General features: G+C 43.7%; 1 protein-coding gene across 12 annotated transcripts in view; it reads right to left on the minus strand.

The window, feature by feature from the left end:
* Nucleotides 1-17,882, minus strand: part of CSMD2 (CUB and Sushi multiple domains 2) — a 651,845-nt gene that overhangs the window by 371,652 nt on the left and 262,311 nt on the right. The window lies entirely within an intron of this gene.

The raw sequence follows: 17,882 nt of genomic DNA on the forward strand, positions 1-17,882 counted from the left end.
AAGAATCTGCCAAATTCCTATGCCAGTGTCTGGTTGGCAGCAAGCTCTATAATTTTTAAGTAGTATGAATTCTGTGCCCATATTTCTTACAAAATATGTGTATGGAGAAAGATACCACCAGTTTAGTCTAATAGGTATTCTCAGGCCTAATATATATGAAAGAAATTGGGACTGGTGAGTGGTTAAGAGCATGGGCTTGGGAGACAAAGTCTTGGCTCTATTACTTCCTAGCTGAGCCATCTTGGGCAGGCTAGGTTAACTTTCTGGGCTCAATTTCCTCATGTGTCAAAGGGGAATGAAAATAATACCAGCCTCATAGGGTTATTAAAAGGGTTAAGACAGATTATGCATATCGAGTGCTTAGCCTGGCCCCAAAGTGCCTAGAAAGGGTGCAAAAAGTGTTAGTGAATACAATTCTTATGGTCGCTGATACTTAATAAATGTCTCCTGAATAAAAGAATGCATGAGTGGAATGTACAACTTAGGAGAGACAGATAGCTAGAGGATACTGGATGCTGAGCTAAGGCTCTGGACTATATTCCATGGGTGACAGGAGCCATCAAAGAGTTTTCAGCAAGGAAACAGCACAGCCAGATTTGGTTTAGAAAGGTCACACTGGACCAGAATAGAGGATGGGCAGGAGGGAGAAATTCTGGAGACAAGCAGGAGGCTGCTTCAGTGTTCCAGGTGTGAGAGCACCTAAACAAAGTCGGGCGTACTGGTGTTGCAGAGAAAGGGAAAAATTGGAAAGATACTTAGGAGGCAGAACTGGCAGGACTTGGCAACCAAGAGATGGGAGCAGATGACAACCACCCTGCTCTGTGCAATGTCAGAAAAGAAGAATCCAGTTAGGGAATCAGGGGAGAAGCTGATGGCCTCTCTGGAAGCCCCCAGCCACTGTTTTCACCGGGAATGCTGAGTGCTGCTTGTTCCTCTGCCCCAGCACAGAGCAGAGGTTCATGTGTGGCCTGCACACAGCGTGGGGCACAGTGGGCAGCCGATGGGAAATTCTTCTGCATAACAGATCTCAGAGCTTACAACTGGGGCCAGCAGCCAGCCGCAGGAAAGGGTTTCCCCTTGGCAGACAGGCCTCGGCTAAGGGACAGAAGTCATTCCTAATTGCAGCATGTTTTTCAGGGGAAGTCTCCAAAGCTGTTTAGAAAATAAAACCTCTGAAAACAGTCCAAATAAAGGGAAAGTGACTCCCATTTGTTTAGAGCTACTTTGTGCTGAGTGCCATCACTAGTTTGTTCTCACTCAGCCTTCAGCATGACTGAAGAAGAATTAGCTGCACATTTTACAGAGGGGGACACTGAGACTCAGAGGTTTTTTTTTTTAAATTTATTTAAATACGACCATTTTTCAGTGGAGGAATCAGAATTCAAACCCATCTCTTTGACTCCAAAGTCCGTTCTCTTTCTTCTATGACATATTTTATAATCCTTAATTTTAAAAGGTCTGTTTCCTCGGACATTCACATACTGTGGCAGTGTAAAATGATCAAATGCTTTTAGAAAACAATTTGGCAATAAGAATCAAGTATCTTAAAAAATATTCATTCTGGGAATTGCTCCTAAAGAAATAATCATAAATTCAGAAAAAAAAAAGCTTTGCACACAAAAATGTTCCTTGCAGCAATATTTATAACATAAACAACGAGGAACAGCCTAAATGTTCACAGAAAGAGGAATGGTTAAGTAAGCTGTGATATATCCACTTAATGAATATTTTGAGGTCAAGGGTTTATAATAACAGAGAAAATGCTAATGTTATAAGTGCAGAATAATCAGGATACAAAATTGTACTTAGCCTCATCAAGCGATGGTGTTACAGAACCACTGGGTTTCCATTTAGAGAACTTTCCTCTCCAACCTCTATCAGCTCCTTCCAAATCACTCCAGAGTTTTTAAAAAATAACACTACTTAATAAGAAAAACACATAATTTCTTAATGTTATATAATGGGAGAAAAAACTCTAGAACTAATTTTGCTGTTTTTATTGATCTGTAATATAGAATTTAGTAAAAGCTATGCTTGCCTTTAAGTCCCTCTTATTCAGAAATTCTAGAGCTGCCAAACCTATCACTCCTCTTTAATATAATAATTCTGGAGGCAGTAGTCATATAAGAAGCCAAAAAAAAAGCATCCATGTGGGAAAGAAGAAATAAAATTACATTACTTGCAGCTAATATGATTGTCTAATCTAGAAAATCTAAAATAATCAACTTTAAAACTATTAGGGCTGATGAGAGAGTTCAGTAAGATGGCTGGTTACAGAAGAAATGTACAGAAATCAATAGCTTTCTTATTTACCAGCAATAAGCAACTAGAAAAAAAATGCAGTGACAAATGGCCCTATTCACTATAACAATAAAAACTATAAAAGGACCTAGGAAAAAAACCTAACAAGAAATTCACTAGACTTATGTGATGAAAACTATAAAATTTTATTCAAGATCATTAAAAAAGGCCTGGAAAATAAGAGGCATACCATCGTCCAGGATAGGAATATTTACTGTAAAAATTTTAATTCTCTCCAAATCAATCTACAAATTCAGTGAAATTTCAACGAAAGTCACAGTGAAATTTCTTTGGGGGAAATCTGAAAAATTTACTCTAAAATTCATCTGGAAAAGTAAACGCACAACAATTGTCAACAAATATTTTCAAAGTAATAATAATGAAGGAGGTCTTTTCTGGGTAGAAAACAAAAATTATTACAAAGCTATGGCAAAATTCAAATGATACAATTATGACACAGAAATAGATTAACAGAGAAATAAAATAGAAGAAAAAGTCCAGTTGTAGAACCATGAATAGAGCTGAACTCAGTTTATGATGAAAGGACTATTTCAAATCAGAAAGGACAGGTTTGGAGTTAATTCATTATTCATTTATAACTAAAATAAAGCTAGATCTATAGCTCAAACCTCGTACAAAAATATAATTCACACAGATTAAATAGCTAAATGTAAAATATAAAAATTCTGAGAGTTCCAGAATAAATAGAGAAGACTATTTCTATAATTTCCAAGCAGGAAGGTATTCCTAACCAAGACACAAAACTGAGAAGTTTTATGTGATCAAATCAGGAGATCAACTGATTTTTGTTGTTGTTGTTGTTGTTGTTGTTGTTGAGATGGAGTCTCCCTCTGTCGCCCAGGCTGGAGTGCAGTGGCGCAATATCGGCTCACTGCAAGCTCCGCCTCCCAGGTACATGCCATTCTCCTGCCTCAGCCTCCCTAGTAGCTGGGACTATAGGCGCCCGCCACCACGCCCGGCTAATTTTGTTTTGTATTTTTAGTAGAGACGGAGTTTCACCATGTTAGCCAGGACAGTCTCCATCTCCTGACCTTGTGATCCGCCCACCTTAGCCTCCCAAAGTGCTGGGATTACAGGCGTGAGCCACTGCGCCCGGCCAAGATCAACTGATTTCAACACACACACACAAAATAAAACTTATGCTGTGAGAGACAACAAAGTAAGGCTAAAAGACATGCTACTGATTGATAAAACCTTTTTACAACATATATTGATTTTAATACATGTTAAAAATATACAAAGAGCTCCTATAAATGAATAGGAAAAACAAACATGACCTGATAGAAAAATGGGTAGAGAATATGAACAGGCAATCCAGAAAATAAAAGTGACCATGGACATATGAAGAGATTACTAACTACACTAATAATTGGAGGAATGTTTTTCACCCACTGAGATGGATAAAAACAAAACTTTAATTTGGAAAAGAGTTAGGGAAATAGCCACTGTTATACATGGTTGATGGAAACATGAAATTGGCACAGTCTTTCTGGAGTACACTTTAGCAGAGTCTAAATTTAAAAATAATGTATACTTTGACCCAGAAATTCTATTTTAAAGAAAGCTATCCTATTAATGCTCCAATGTGCACTGAGGTATATTCATGATGATGTTAACTATAACATTATTTGAAATAGTGAAAAATGCAATTATTAGGGAAATTGTTAAAAAAAATGAGGCTGACATATATATATATACTGACATTGAAACATATTTAACGTAGACATTTAAGAGAATAAAAGCAAGCTGTAGAATAATATGTTTATGTTTCACCTCCTATCCTGTGTGTGTGTGTGTGTGTGTGTGTGTGTGTGCATGCGCCAGCGTGTGTGTGTGTAATGCCTAGGCTAATAGACCAACTTAATAATGCTTAGGGAAGACAGTGGAATTAGGGTAGGGATTTAACACATAGACGACTTTAACGTTTTATTCTGTACTCTCAGGTATGCTTTGAATTTTTCACAAAGAGTATAAATTACTCATAATAAAAAGTGGGTATATACTTAAACACATACACACACACTCACACAATACTCTATGAACACAGCTCTTTAAAAACAAAGCCATACCTATAAAAAAAAGAGAAAGAAATGAATCAAAATGTTCATGCATAGAGTTTCTTTATTCAGTTTTTCTCAATTTTCTAAATTTTCTTTAATGACCATGCTTTATGTTTACAATGGAAATAAAAAATATAATACTCGTCTGCTTTTGTGGGGATCTAAATATATATAAAAGAATATACATATTCTTTTTCTTTCTTTTTTTTTTTTTTTTGAGATGGAGTCTGGCTCTGTCACCCAGGCTGGAGTGCAGTGGAGCGATCGTTGCTCACTGCAAGCTCCGCCTCCCGGGTGCACACCATTCTCCTGCCTCAGCCTCCCAAGTAGCTGGGAGTAAAGGCGTCTGCCACCACGCCTGGCTAATTTTTTGTATTTTTAGTAGAGACGGGGTTTCACCATGTTAGCCAGGATGGTCTCGATCTCCTGACCTTGTGATCTGCCTGCCTTGGCCTCCCAAAGTGCTGGGATTACAGGCATGAGACACCGTGCCCTGCCTATTCTTTTAAAATTAAATTTTTTTTTGTGGGCTCTTTTTTTCAGCCCGCATCGCCAAGTCAATCCTAAGCCAAAAGAACAAAGCTGGAGGCATCATGCTACCTGACTTCAAACTATACTACAAGGCTACAGTAACCAAAACAGCATGGTACTGGTACCAAAACAGAGATATAGATCAATGGAACAGAACAGAGCCCTCAGAAATAACGCTGCATATCTACAACTATCTGATTTTTGACAAACCTGAGAAAAACAAGCAATGGGGAAAGGATTCCCTATTTAATAAATGGTACTGGGAAAACTGGCTAGCCATATGCAGAAAGCTGAAACTGGATCCCTTCCTTACACCTTATACAAAAATTAATTCAAGATGGATTAAAGACTTAAATAAACGTTAGACCTAAAACCATAAAAACCCTAGAAGAAAACCTAGGCATTATCATTCAGGACATAGGCATGGGCAAAGACTTCATGTCTAAAACACCAAAAGCAATGGCAACAAAAGCCAGAATTGACAAATGGGATCTAATTAAACTAAAGAGCTTCTGCACAGCAAAAGAAACTACCATCAGAGTGAACAGCAACCTAAAAAACGGGAGAAAATTTTTGCAACCTACTCATCTGACAAAGGGCTAATATCCAGAATCTACAATGAACTCAAACAAATTTACAAGAAAAAAAAAACAACCCCATCAAAAAGTGGGCGAAGGACATGAACAGACATTTCTCAAAAGAAGACATTTATGCAGCCAAAAAACACATGAAAAAATGCTCACCATCACTGGCCATCAGAGAAATGCAAATCAAAACCACAATGAGATACCATCTCACACCAGTTAGAATGGCAATCATTAAAAAGTCAGGAAACAACAGGTGCTGGAGAGGATGTGGAGAAATAGGAACACTTTTACACTGTTGGTGGGACTGTAAACTAGTTCAACCACTGTGGAAGTCAGTGTGGCGATTCCTCAGGGATCTAGAACTAGAAATACCATTTGACCCAGCCATCTCATTACTGGGTATATACCCAAAGGATTAAAAATCATGCTGCTATAAAGACACATGCACACGTATGTTTATTGCGGCATTATTCACAATAGCAAAGACTTGGAACCAACCCAAGTGTCCAACAATGATAGAGTGGATTAAGAAAATGTGGCACATATACACCATGGAATACTATGCAGCCATAAAAAATGAAGAGTTCATGTCCTTTGTAGGGACATGGATGAAATTGGAAATCATCATTCCCAGTAAACTATCGCAAGGACAAAAAACCAAACACTGCATGTTCTCACTCATAGGTGGAAATTGAACACTGAGAACACATGGACACAGGAAGGGGAACATCACACTCTGGGGACTGTTGTGGGGTGGGGGGAGGGGGGAGGGATAGCATTAGGAGATATACCTAATGCTAAATGACGAGTTAATGGGTGCAGCACACTAGCATGGCGCATGTATACATATGTAACTAACCTGCACATTGTGCACATGTACCCTAAAACTTAAAGTAAAATAATAATAATAATAATAATAAAAAGAAAACCCTAAAGACACCATCAAAAAAAAAATGGAAATTTATTTTTTGTCACAAATATGTATATTTGTGACAACTATAGTATATACACTAGTGAGTTTTTCAATAAAATATAATTTGCATTTAAAGTCATTTAGCTTTTGGCAAACTGGAGGACACCATGTCAGACATATTTAATTTCATATGGGGGGATATTTTAAATTGAAAATAAAAATAGGATTAAAAATTTTAATCTTAAAAAAAATTATTGATTTATTTTTCATTTCAATAGTTTTTGGGTGTACAGGTGGTTTTTGGTTACATGGACATGTTCTTTAGTGGTGATTTCTGAGATTTTAGTCCACCCATCACCTGAGCAGTGTATACTGTACCCAATATGTAGTCTTTTACCCCTCAACCCCCTCTCAATCTTCTCCTCCAAGTCCCCAAAGTCCATTATATCACTCTTATGCCTTTGCACCCTCATAGCTTAGCTCCCACTTATAAGTGAGAACATACGGCATTTGGTTTTCCACTCCTGAGCTACTCCTCTTAGAATAATGGCCTCCAGCTCCATCCAAGTTGCTGCAAAAGACACTATTTCATTCCTTTTTATGGCTGAGTAGTATTCCATGGGGTACATATACCACGTTTTCTTTATCCACTCATTGGTTGATGGGCACTTAGGTTGGTTTCTTATTTTTGCAATTGCAAATTGTGCTACTAATACTCTCTATTCTTTTAAAGTTCTGCTTACTTTTTGCTGTAAGCAAATTCAGTAAAATAATTTCTCTTTCCCTCTGAGTCTGGTTGGGTGACTTTGAAGCAGAAAGTGAGGCTGGGCATCCCTGGGCCCTCAGCACCAACTTGAGTGCATTCGTAGGAGGTGAATGACCAAATGCAGACAGGCTCAAGAGCAAACAGGTCTGGTGAAAGGGTTCATGTTATCCTATCAAAAATGATTAATGGGATTTCCTAGCATAATAGTATCTGTATAATAAATTGATGATGCTTGATTATGACTGTGAATGGATCATCATGCTTTGCATCCATCCAATTCCCACATCACTAGAAACATCTGGGTCACAGCTCTGCCTGGTACAATCTGAATGGAAGAGGAGGGGAAAGAAATTAAAACAGAAAGGGAGCTAAAATTACTTATAAGAAAGGAGGGGGAGTGGCTATCATTGAGTACTTGCTCTGTGCTACTTACCTCGTAAGCACAATTTTTGGCACTATTCTATCTATTTTGCAGCTAGGAGCACTGAAAGATTAGTCACTTGCCTAAGATTGCCCAGTGGAACTTGGTTTATCTGAGTCCAGATCCTGGCCTCTTCCCATGGGCCTTCCAGGCAGAGGATAGGAGAGGGGAAAGGATGGGGAAGTGAAGCACAAAGCAGCTTTCACCTACATAGAGAAGAATGTATCTGAACTCTGAGCCCTTTTCTTCCTCCCCAGGCTGAGCTCTGAAACTTCTCCTGGCAGTTCAAGAGAGCGATGGAGGGAATGCTGGGGCACATCTAAATAAAGCCTCCAAGTGGGAGTTCCTGCTCAGCTATGCATGAGCTCTTTGTGACTTCATCTCCCAGCCTACAACTTGTGAAATAAGCACGACTTCACTCAGAGCACAGCCAGAAACATACAAACTTTCCAAAAATATTTGAATGTTGACAGCAGACTGTCTTGCATTCCAGTGAATAATTGGTTTGTATGAGTGTGTGTGTGACCTAAATCCACAGAACTTACCATTCTGTGGCTATACAAAGTAAGTTTCATAGCCCTGATTTTCCAAATCTCAATGGTTAATTGCCAAGCTAGCAGGCAGCCATGCCTTTTTCCAGGATGCTGGGGTGGCTGATACTGGACTTTGAGGCAGTCCTCTTGCTCACTGGCTGCAGCCTGCTAGAAGGGCAGGAGATCAAACATATCCCGATGTGGGGTCTACAGCTGTTGTCTGACAGTGGTGACAGGGACAGGGGGATTACTGTTAATGGGGCCACCTGGATAATGGATTCTTCTTTTTTTCTGTGCCTGCTTGCTAGGACCACTGCCTACACCACAGGTTTCTGTGGATTCACTCAAATTTCAGTGGCTCCCCAAGGCTGAAGGGAAGGTGGTCCTTCCAAGGGTCACTTTTAGTGAGCTGGGTCTCACTCCAGAGCTGCCTAGGCCCCCAGTGTTACAGCTCTGTCAGTAACACTGCCTTTTGATACACGTACACCTGTAGCAGGTGGTGCCAGTGTCCTTCCTGTAATACTCGATCTTTCAGAGTGGGCCAGCTGACTGCAAGCTCCCAGTGTCTGCATCCCTGTGCTCGAAGGCTTTTTTCCCCCAATGCTAGGCCACTTTGCCCATGTGCACAGCAGGCTGGAAGGGCTAGGGAGTTAATAACCCCTCAGGAGCAGCCCTCATTCAATGACTTTCAGGAATTGGTGTATAAATACCTCAGCTCCCTCATTCCTTGGGTGGGATAATTCTAAGATCTGGGTTCTGCAGACCTGGGTTTCCTAGAGTGTCCCTGTGGGATTATGGCCCAGACCCCCATTGTGGTAGCTGGTATGACCACCCTTTATTAGCTACAGTCTCTTCCCTGTATTATGTCCCTCTTATCTGCTAGTGTCACCTGTGCTTCCTAATAGAACACTTGTGCTTGAACCCTTGTCTCAGGCCTGCTTTTGGGGAACCCAAACTTGGAAAATACCCTGGTTCCAGAGGGGCAAGAACTCCAGCATCAGACACATAATATGCCTAGGAGCAGCCCTCTTCTGGGACCTCTGTCTTGTTGGGGCATCCGGGTCACTGACTGGGTCCCCATCTCCTGCAGGGCAAGTCTCCTCTCAGGTATCCTGTCTTCCACAGGGTCCCAAATCCTTTTCCCCCAAGATGCCCCAGGTACTTCTGTGGAGAAGAGGTGCTGCTTTGCTCCTGTCAACCACATCCAACCCCAACATCTTTGAGCTTCCACTTCCACATCAGAAAAATTGAAGTAATTCTTGCCCACCTCAGTCAGTGGCCATGAGGATGAATATCAATAATCGCTACATTATTGAGTGTTACCTACATGTTGTATGTTAGATTCTCTGCTTAATGCTAATTTGAAATTGACAACAGCCCTAAGAAATATAAATTATTATTCCTGATAGCATTGTTTTAAAGCTAAAGAAACCGAGGCTCAGAGAGGTTAAATAGCTTCCCCAAATCCCGGAGCAGAGCTTTGAATCCACATCTGACCTTAGAGCCCTCTAGGCAAACAGCTTCTCATGATACAGGCACAGAGCACCTGGTGGGAATGCCTGCAGGGTGTATGGGTTTGTGGGTCAGGGGTGAAAGAGGCAGGGATTGGCCCTACATGGGGGTACTGGGAAATGGTCTGAGTCCAAGGAGGTGTGGGCCAAAATTGGTAGTAGAGCGGATGGGGATGTATGGTGGATGAAGTGACAGAGGTTTGGGAGGCTGGACCTTATATTGAGGGAATCATGGGTAAGACAAAAGGTTAGCAGCAGCAGGGCCACCCCACGGGTGGTGGCTGGGGAAGCGCGGCTTGAGGCATTCATGCAGAGCTTGAGCCCGCCCTCTGGAGAGGCAGGGGGACTTGGTGCAGGGATATGGCTTAAGTGGCCTTGGCAGAAAGGTGGCAGGCTACACTGGCCGCCCTCCAGAAAGGCTGAGAGGGGGATGCCGCATCTCATCCGGGTCCCTAGGCATGGGATGCAGGCTGTTCCCAGCCCCCATGAGTTTGTGGGGTTGTGAATATTAAACAACTTTGCAGCCAGGTCTTTCTGGGTTATGGGATGAGGGGTCTGAAGCCGCAGTGCTCAGGCATCCCAGGGCCTGGTCCTGAGCAACCAACTCCCCTCTCAACTGTAGCACCTGCTGGCACCTTGACCCAGTCCCTGATGAGATACCGTCATCTCCTCCAAGACGGAAGCAGTGGCATCTCCCCACGCTTCCCAGAACCCCAGAGTCTGGGAGGCTTGCAGGTCCCTAAATCCAAGCTGAGTTTTCTTTTGTTAAGTCACAGGATAAAGCACTTTACATATTAATCAGGTTAGGAATATGAGAGCACATATCAGGGGACTGAAATATGTAGATTTTGATGATGAATTCATGCTCATCAGAAAACCAATGAATCATCCTAACTTCATTATCAGGAATTATTTGATGGGGGAATTGGCAGAGGGGGTAGGAGGGTAAGGAGGGGAGTAGCGAGGGGGAGAGGATTTCTTGGTTCTCAGCACAGACTGTGTTCTCTTCCATCAGCACATTTTTGCAGTAGGACCATTTGTTTCTGTGACATGGGTCTTACACATGGCCACATACTGGAGGCCTCGGTGAAGCTTGAGGACATCACCTGGTGAGGTCACACCAAGATTCAGGGCAAACCAGGTAGAGAGATATAAATAACCCCACAAGTACAACTATTTTTACCATTGTTTTAAGATTACCCCAGCAGTCCCTCCTGTGACACTAACTCCCTGGGTGACTTTGGCAAGTCACATGCCACCCACCTGTGCCTCAGTTTCTTCATCTGGCGAAGGAGAATGATGGCTGTGGAGCAACAGGGCTTTCAGGACTGGAACCAAGAAGAGGGGTTGAACTCCCAACTTCCAGGCTCCCTATGAGCTAGGCACACTTTGAAGTGTGAGGATCTGGCTGAGAAGGAGCAAACATGGGCAGACACTCTACTGACTGGGAGGAGGCATCTGCCATTTTAAATAGGTGATTGGGGAAGGCCTCACTGTGCATATGATCTTAAAGGTGGCACCTGAAATAGGGGAGGGAGTCAGATGTGTGGATATCTCAGGGGGAGAGGATTCCAAGCAGAGGGGAAAGCACGTGCAAAGGCCCTGAGGTGGGAAGAGCACGCGTGGCATCTAAGGACCAGCAAGGAAGCCATTGTGGCTGGGGAAGGGAATAAGAGGGAGGGTAGGAGAAGGTAAGGTCACAGAGGCCGTGGTGGAGGGGGCAGGGTTACAGGGGGCAAGCCTGTAAAAGAGGGTATTCAGGCCAAAACAGTATTGTGGAAAGGTGAGAAGATGAACCAGAAGCTAAAGTGGCTCCTCTATGGGGTAAACTGAGGCACTGAGGCACAAGCAATGAGGAGCCAGGACAGGCAGACAGGTGAGGAACACCACATGAAGTAGGGTTTATGTGGATTCAGATCCTGCTGGAGCCAGGTGCTGCTGTGACCCTCTCATGTGAAGTCTACAAACGCCGGCTCAGTGCTAGGTGGCCAGCAAACATTGAAGGTGGTGGAAACAGATCTGGATCAGACATGAAGAGCTTCGATTCTGCCCTGGCTCTGCCACATGTTTGCTGAGTGATGCTGGGACTCAATTTCCTCATCTGTGGAATCTGGCAACTGGACAAAACACTTTCTGTTGAACTTTCTGGAAGCCAGATTATTTTATTTCTCCAGGGCTTTCTTTCCTGGGGTAAACAAGCTGCTGCTGCTGTCTTTAACAATGCAAGTAAAAACCTGTGGGTTCATACTGTGTATGTCCACATCATGACTGAGGTCAAGAGGTCACCCCTCCTGCAGCCAGCACTGCTTCCGTGGGGAGCAACTGAGGACACAGCCGGGTGACAACAGAGCCAGGAGTCTCAGCCTCACTGTACTGTGGAATCACCCAGGCACTACCAGGGACAAAATGAGCTCAATTCACCTGAGATGGGGAGCGGCAACAGCTCACTCCAGGGAACCTCACTGAGCGTCTTTGAGGGAAATACAAAATGAGTTGATTCAGGTTTGATAAACATGTATCAAGGGCCCTCCATGGGCAAGGTGGTTCCACAAATGTTATCTCCCTCAATTCTCCCAGAGACCCGACGGAGGAGGTATTTCCCTCCCATTTTGCAGATGAGGAAACCAAGGTTCAGAAGTCAACATGGCTTGTGAGTGTGGGTGTAAGGTGGTCTCAGTCAAGACCCTGGGTTCCTAGTCACTTTGTAATATTGCCCCAATTAAACCCTTATCCTGATCCTTGGAGTTAGATTGAGAGAGGAGGACATTGAGGTTCAGAGAGGTGAAGGGACTTGCCTAAGGTCACACAGACATTACATGGCAGAGATGGCATTTCCTGCCAGCTCATGGAGTCAGGTTGCTAAAAAATGCTATTACTATTTCTCTTGCAGTCATGATAACCAAACATCCCACTCCCCAACAGCCCATCTGAGTTGCGGTTCTTGTTGAAGGGATATCGTGGAGTCATTGCCAGACTCCGAAGAGATAAAGCACTGCAAATTGAATGAGAAAATCTATTTTCACATCCTGATGAAGACATAGCTGACAATGAAAGAGTGAATTGTTTTAGACAAAAACACAACCCCCTGCTTTTTCCTTTTTTAAAAAAACTTAAGAGTTACAGCTTTAGAAAAATAGGAGCAGCTGACTATCACAGATAAAAATGCCCTTTTGCCTAATTGGATCTTTAATAAGGAATCCTAATTAATCCCCCTGAATAAAGAACTTTTACACTGGTGTTATCTCAGCCCCTGTGCTGATGGGGCTGGTTATTTCCAGACACAGAATAATGAATCTTTTCCAGCCGGGGCTAGGAGTCGCCAGAGACTTGTCAACTTCCCTATGAAGGTAATTACTTGCTAAGGCACCAGGGGAATGTGGGGCTGGGGAAAGGGTAATTACAAAAAGAGGGACTGAGGGCATTGAGGGGGAAGCTTAGGAGGGCACTGTTGAGCCAGGGCTGAAGGAAGCTTGGCAACTGTGAAGGAAACCGCTGGTGGAAAGATGGAGGCCACGTCAGCGTCCAGGATGTCATTCCCAGCTCAGAGTGAGGCCTGAAGGACACTTGCCCTCATGTGAAAAATGTCACTTGATGGAGCTTGACAGATTCCAATAATTGTGAGAGCCAAACAGACAGCAAACAGAAGTCAGGAAGCAGGCCTGCCTGTGACTCTTCCTGGTCGGTGCAAAGGCTGGGCTGTCATTGCCCGGAGACCTCTGTGGCATCCATAAAGACAACACTAAATGAAAAGGGTTATCTGGACAACTCAGGCCACAGACCAGCAACGAGAAGGACGTGACGGATGTGGCTAAATGACACGGGCCATTTATCTGCATTGACAGGGCTCTCTTGAAAGGGGAACGCTGATGGCAGTCTGTCCCACGCTCACCAGGGCTGGCATCTAGGGAGCTGGCAGGATGTGGGAGCCAAGGCCTCGATGAGCCTGGCTATCTGTGAAGCCAGCCCACATCAACCAACCACAGCCCAAGGCCCAAAAGCAGCCCCAGGGGGAAGAAGCTGAAGCCAATGGCATAGGCCCAGGGCCATCTCTCCAGGATACCCAAGGTCTCTTTCCAACCTCCAAAATCCAGAGGGGCAGAAAGAGCAGAGGTTGGGAGGCAAAGGGCCCTGGCTTCAGGCTGCAACTTCCTAGCTCTGTGACCTTGGGTAAATGACCTCACTGAGTCTCGGGTTCTCAGAGTTGCTTAAAGGCACAAAGGAAAAATCAGTGTAGACTCCTGGCATGTCGTTGGTACCCTACACATAGTAATTGTATTTTCTTCCTTAAAACCCTCTCAGTTCCAGAAAAATCACCTTAGGAGGCAGATCCCACTGGAAGGGAATCTGTGGGGTTGGATTTATATGTGAAAAATTAGGAGGTCTCTGTACACCAATCTGCATGTTCCCAGCAGGTTACAGTGAGGGTGGTGAGGACCCATCACCTGCCTTATAAAACTAGGGCAACTGAAGTTCAGAAAGCTAAGTGACTTGCTGTGAGAGAAGAGTAAAAGCCATTATTGTTCAACCCCGACTTTCCCCATGTGCCCTTCAGGGTACTGCCAAATGGCCCTGGGACCTCAGGGCTGCCTGGCCCAAGGAGACATGACAACCTCTTGCTGTGGCCTCTGCCTCGGTCAGCCTGAAGCTGCCTCCCTGACTTATCAACTGCAGAGGCCAAGACCCACAGGACCTTAAACCTCTGAAAGAAGCTGTGTGTAGCTGTCTGCACGGAGCATATGCTGGGAGGCTCTGGGAGCAGGGTGAGAGGGGCAGGGGAGGAGGGGAGGAAAGCCCTTCCAGGTGCTGTAACCATGAAAGGGCAGAAGAAGGACACAAGCTGGATTTACAAGCTGGGAATCTGGGGCTGTTCAAAGTCTTCTGTGCCCAATTATTTCTTATAACTGTATGAAAGGCCTTGAGAGGGTCAGAAAGTTAACTGAGGTCACACGATTAGTTGGTAGCAGAATTGGTATTTGAACCCAACATTGAGTCCAAATGCTATCTATGCTCCATGGTGCCCTCCTTGGTGTCAGGAAAGAAAATGAATTAGATCCCAGAGGAGCAGAAGAGAAAGAGGGGTAGATCAGGATTTAGAGTCCAGATGATGGGGATCCAATTTCTGGCTCGGACACTTACTAGCTATATTACATCAGGTTTCTTAATCTCTTTATGATAATATTATTATTTTACAAGAGTTTTGTGGCTGGGCGCAATGGCTCACGCCTGTAATCCCAACACTTTGGGAGGCCATGGTAGGTGGATCACCTGAGGTTAGGAGTTCAAGACCAGCCTGGCCAACATGGTGAAACCTTGTCTCTACTAAAAATACAAATAAATTAGCCAGGTGTGGTGGCAGGCACTTGTAATCCCAGCTACTGGGGAGGCTAAGGTGAGGAGAATTGCTTGAACCCGGGAGGCAGAGGTTGCAGTGAGCTGAGATCATGCCATTGCACTCCAGCCTGGGCAACAAGGGCAAAACTCCATCTCAAAAAAAAAAAAAAGAGTTTTGTAAACATTAAATGAGACCATGCATATAAAAACCTTAGTACAGTGCCTGAAACATGGTAGCTCTCAAAGTGATTATACTGTTGAAGGTATATTAAGGCAGGAGGAAGGCAGATAGAGACTCAAAGAGGACAGATTGCATCAAAGCCTACTTTAAGGGTGAGAAATGATCCTGGAGTGGCTGGCCTAGGATCTGCAGAGGGAACAAAATGGGAAAACCCAGCTGGGGAGAACCACGTGTAGGTGAGGAGGAAGCTAAGTCTCTGAGGCTCAGTTTCTTTATCTGCAAGATGGGTATGCCAATACCTAACTCAAACTTGGGGGTGAAGACCCAATGGGGCAAGATGGCATTCCACACATGTGATGGCCTCAATTCAATCATAGAGGCAAACAATGAATATTTGCCTGTTTATTTATCTTGACATTGGTCCTGTTGCCAAAGGGCTCTGACACCAGGCGAGGTGAGCCAAGTGCCATATGCTTTTCCCTTTGATGCTGGTGAGATGCGGTTGGCTGTGAGAAGGTGCTGAGACTCTAAGATCTCAGAGGCTATATTTATTCAACAAATTGTCAGAAAATCTTTACACCTGTCTGTGCCAGGACTCTACTGAGCCCTGAGGATTCAGAGATGATGGGCCAAGTCCATGCTCTGAAAGAGTTCATGTTGGGAGGAGGACTCTGTATTCTAGAAAAGTTTGGCTTGTGCCAGTGCGTCGTAGGAGCCTGGGGTTGCCCAGTGTGGGTGGGGCTGAGGGAGGGCACAGGTCCCAATGCATCTAAAGGTTTCAGGAGGGAGACCCTTGCACAGGCTTATACCAGGTAGACAAGGAGGTGAGACTAGACTTCAAGGCTAAACTTTAGCAGCTCCTTGAAAGGTTGAGACTTCCTAGTTCAGCATTGTAATCACAAAGCTTATCACAGAAACTGGCACAGAGTAGGCAAGGAAAAATATTTGTGAAATAAATAAATAAAGTTTACTAGGAGTCAATGTGCTTCATTTTATGGAATAGATGTGCTTGCCCAAACTCACGCATAAGCCATAACCAAACCTATACGTCAAACATAACTGGGGAGAAATTCAATAATGAATCAATTCATAAAAAGACAAATCATTTCATAATGGGCAGAATCTACTTCCTTTATATTATCACTCTGGAAAGTATTCTATTTAGGCCCAGGGTAACTCTTAAACTTAAATCTATTTCAGAACACCCAGGAAAATGGTTAAAAATACTGAATTAGTTGAGTTCTATTCTCAGGAATCCATGATTTTACAGAGGTGGGGCTCAGGAATCTGCATTCTTCCAAAGAGCATTCAAGCAAGTCTTCTGAAGCAGGGAGTTGGTCAGTGCAACCCAGTTTGAGAAACACAGGATAAGTCCTAGAGGGCATTTTTTAAAGGAAACACAGGGTATTTTTTTTAAAAGTTGGGGGTGTAACTGAGATGGATCAGAAACTGCAGGGCTCCTGGAAACCGCCCCATCTGGCTGCCTCTTCTTCCCTTACCCTGCCTGACACAACATAGAGAGATGTCCCTCTATTTCCAGAAAGACAATCAACTCCTGAAAAGCCCATTTTCTACTTCACTCTTTGATGTCCTTCATAATCTCTTTCCCAAAAGCCTCTCATGCTCTATCACATCATGTTTCTCCTCTTTGGTGCACACGAATCCACAGTGAGCTGTAAAAATCACCGATGCCTGGGTCCCTCCCTGGGCATGCTGACTTATTTGGTCTGGGGAATCACCTTGTCACCCTGCTGGTTCTAATCAGGATCCGAGTTGCATGGACTGCACTAAACCCTTTATCCCTGCACCTTTTTTTCTGGCCCGGAGATTAATGTCCACAAACCCCTCAGCTTTCGCTAAGTATCCCCCTCAGCCATATCTCCAGTGACCAGAAGAGGTATCTAGAGAAGAAAGATAAAGCCACATGCAGGACTGGCTCTGGAGGCTGGAGGCTACAGATAAGGCTTAAGAGGGGTCCCTGGCGGTCCCCAAGTTCACTCCTGAGAGTGGGAAGCCTGTTCATCACCCTCTGATTGCCTTTCCTCCTGTCTCTCTGGGTTTTGTAGGCCAGAGACATAGAGCACTATATGGACTCCTGGTGGGACAGGTTGCTGGCAAATTGATTTCACCCCAACCCCAGGGTGGGCAAGCAGACAGTACCCATCAAATCTCTCACCTCCTTCCTGCCAGACACAGGGCACTGCAGCTCAGAGGAAGTGAGTGAATAGCTGAAACTGACGTGGCTGCAGAAATTGACATCAAGTGCCAGACAGGCATTTGCTTAGCAAATTGGCTAATTTTAACCTCTGCCTCACAGACCAAAACTCTCTGGAAGGAAAGAAACAAAAAGAAAGTGATATTTAACACATTTCTATTTCTGTGCTACACAGTCTCTCTCTGAGGTTGCAAGTTTGAGCCTAATTGATTTCTTAGTCAAAAGAAAAAAAAGCCAAAAAGGAAAAAACAAACAACTGAGAGAGATCTCACATTGCAATCAAACCTCTCCAGTTCTGTTGTCGACTGCTGAGCTTTTTTTTTTTTTTAAAGACTGGCCAAGTGACTTGCATAATTTAAGATCCTTTCTAGCACTGATCAGCCCGCTCTGGCCAAGCAGTTTGCTGATTAATTATTAATCAGACTGAGTTTAGGATGAGTAATCAGCAAGAGTCAGTGCTAATTTGCAAATGTCCCCCAGGAAGGTTATTACTTAAAATACTTGGTGGAGA

The sequence above is a fragment of the Homo sapiens genome, chromosome 1 (genome assembly GCF_000001405.40).
Source record: "Homo sapiens chromosome 1, GRCh38.p14 Primary Assembly".
NCBI classification, from domain to species: domain Eukaryota; kingdom Metazoa; phylum Chordata; class Mammalia; order Primates; family Hominidae; genus Homo; species Homo sapiens.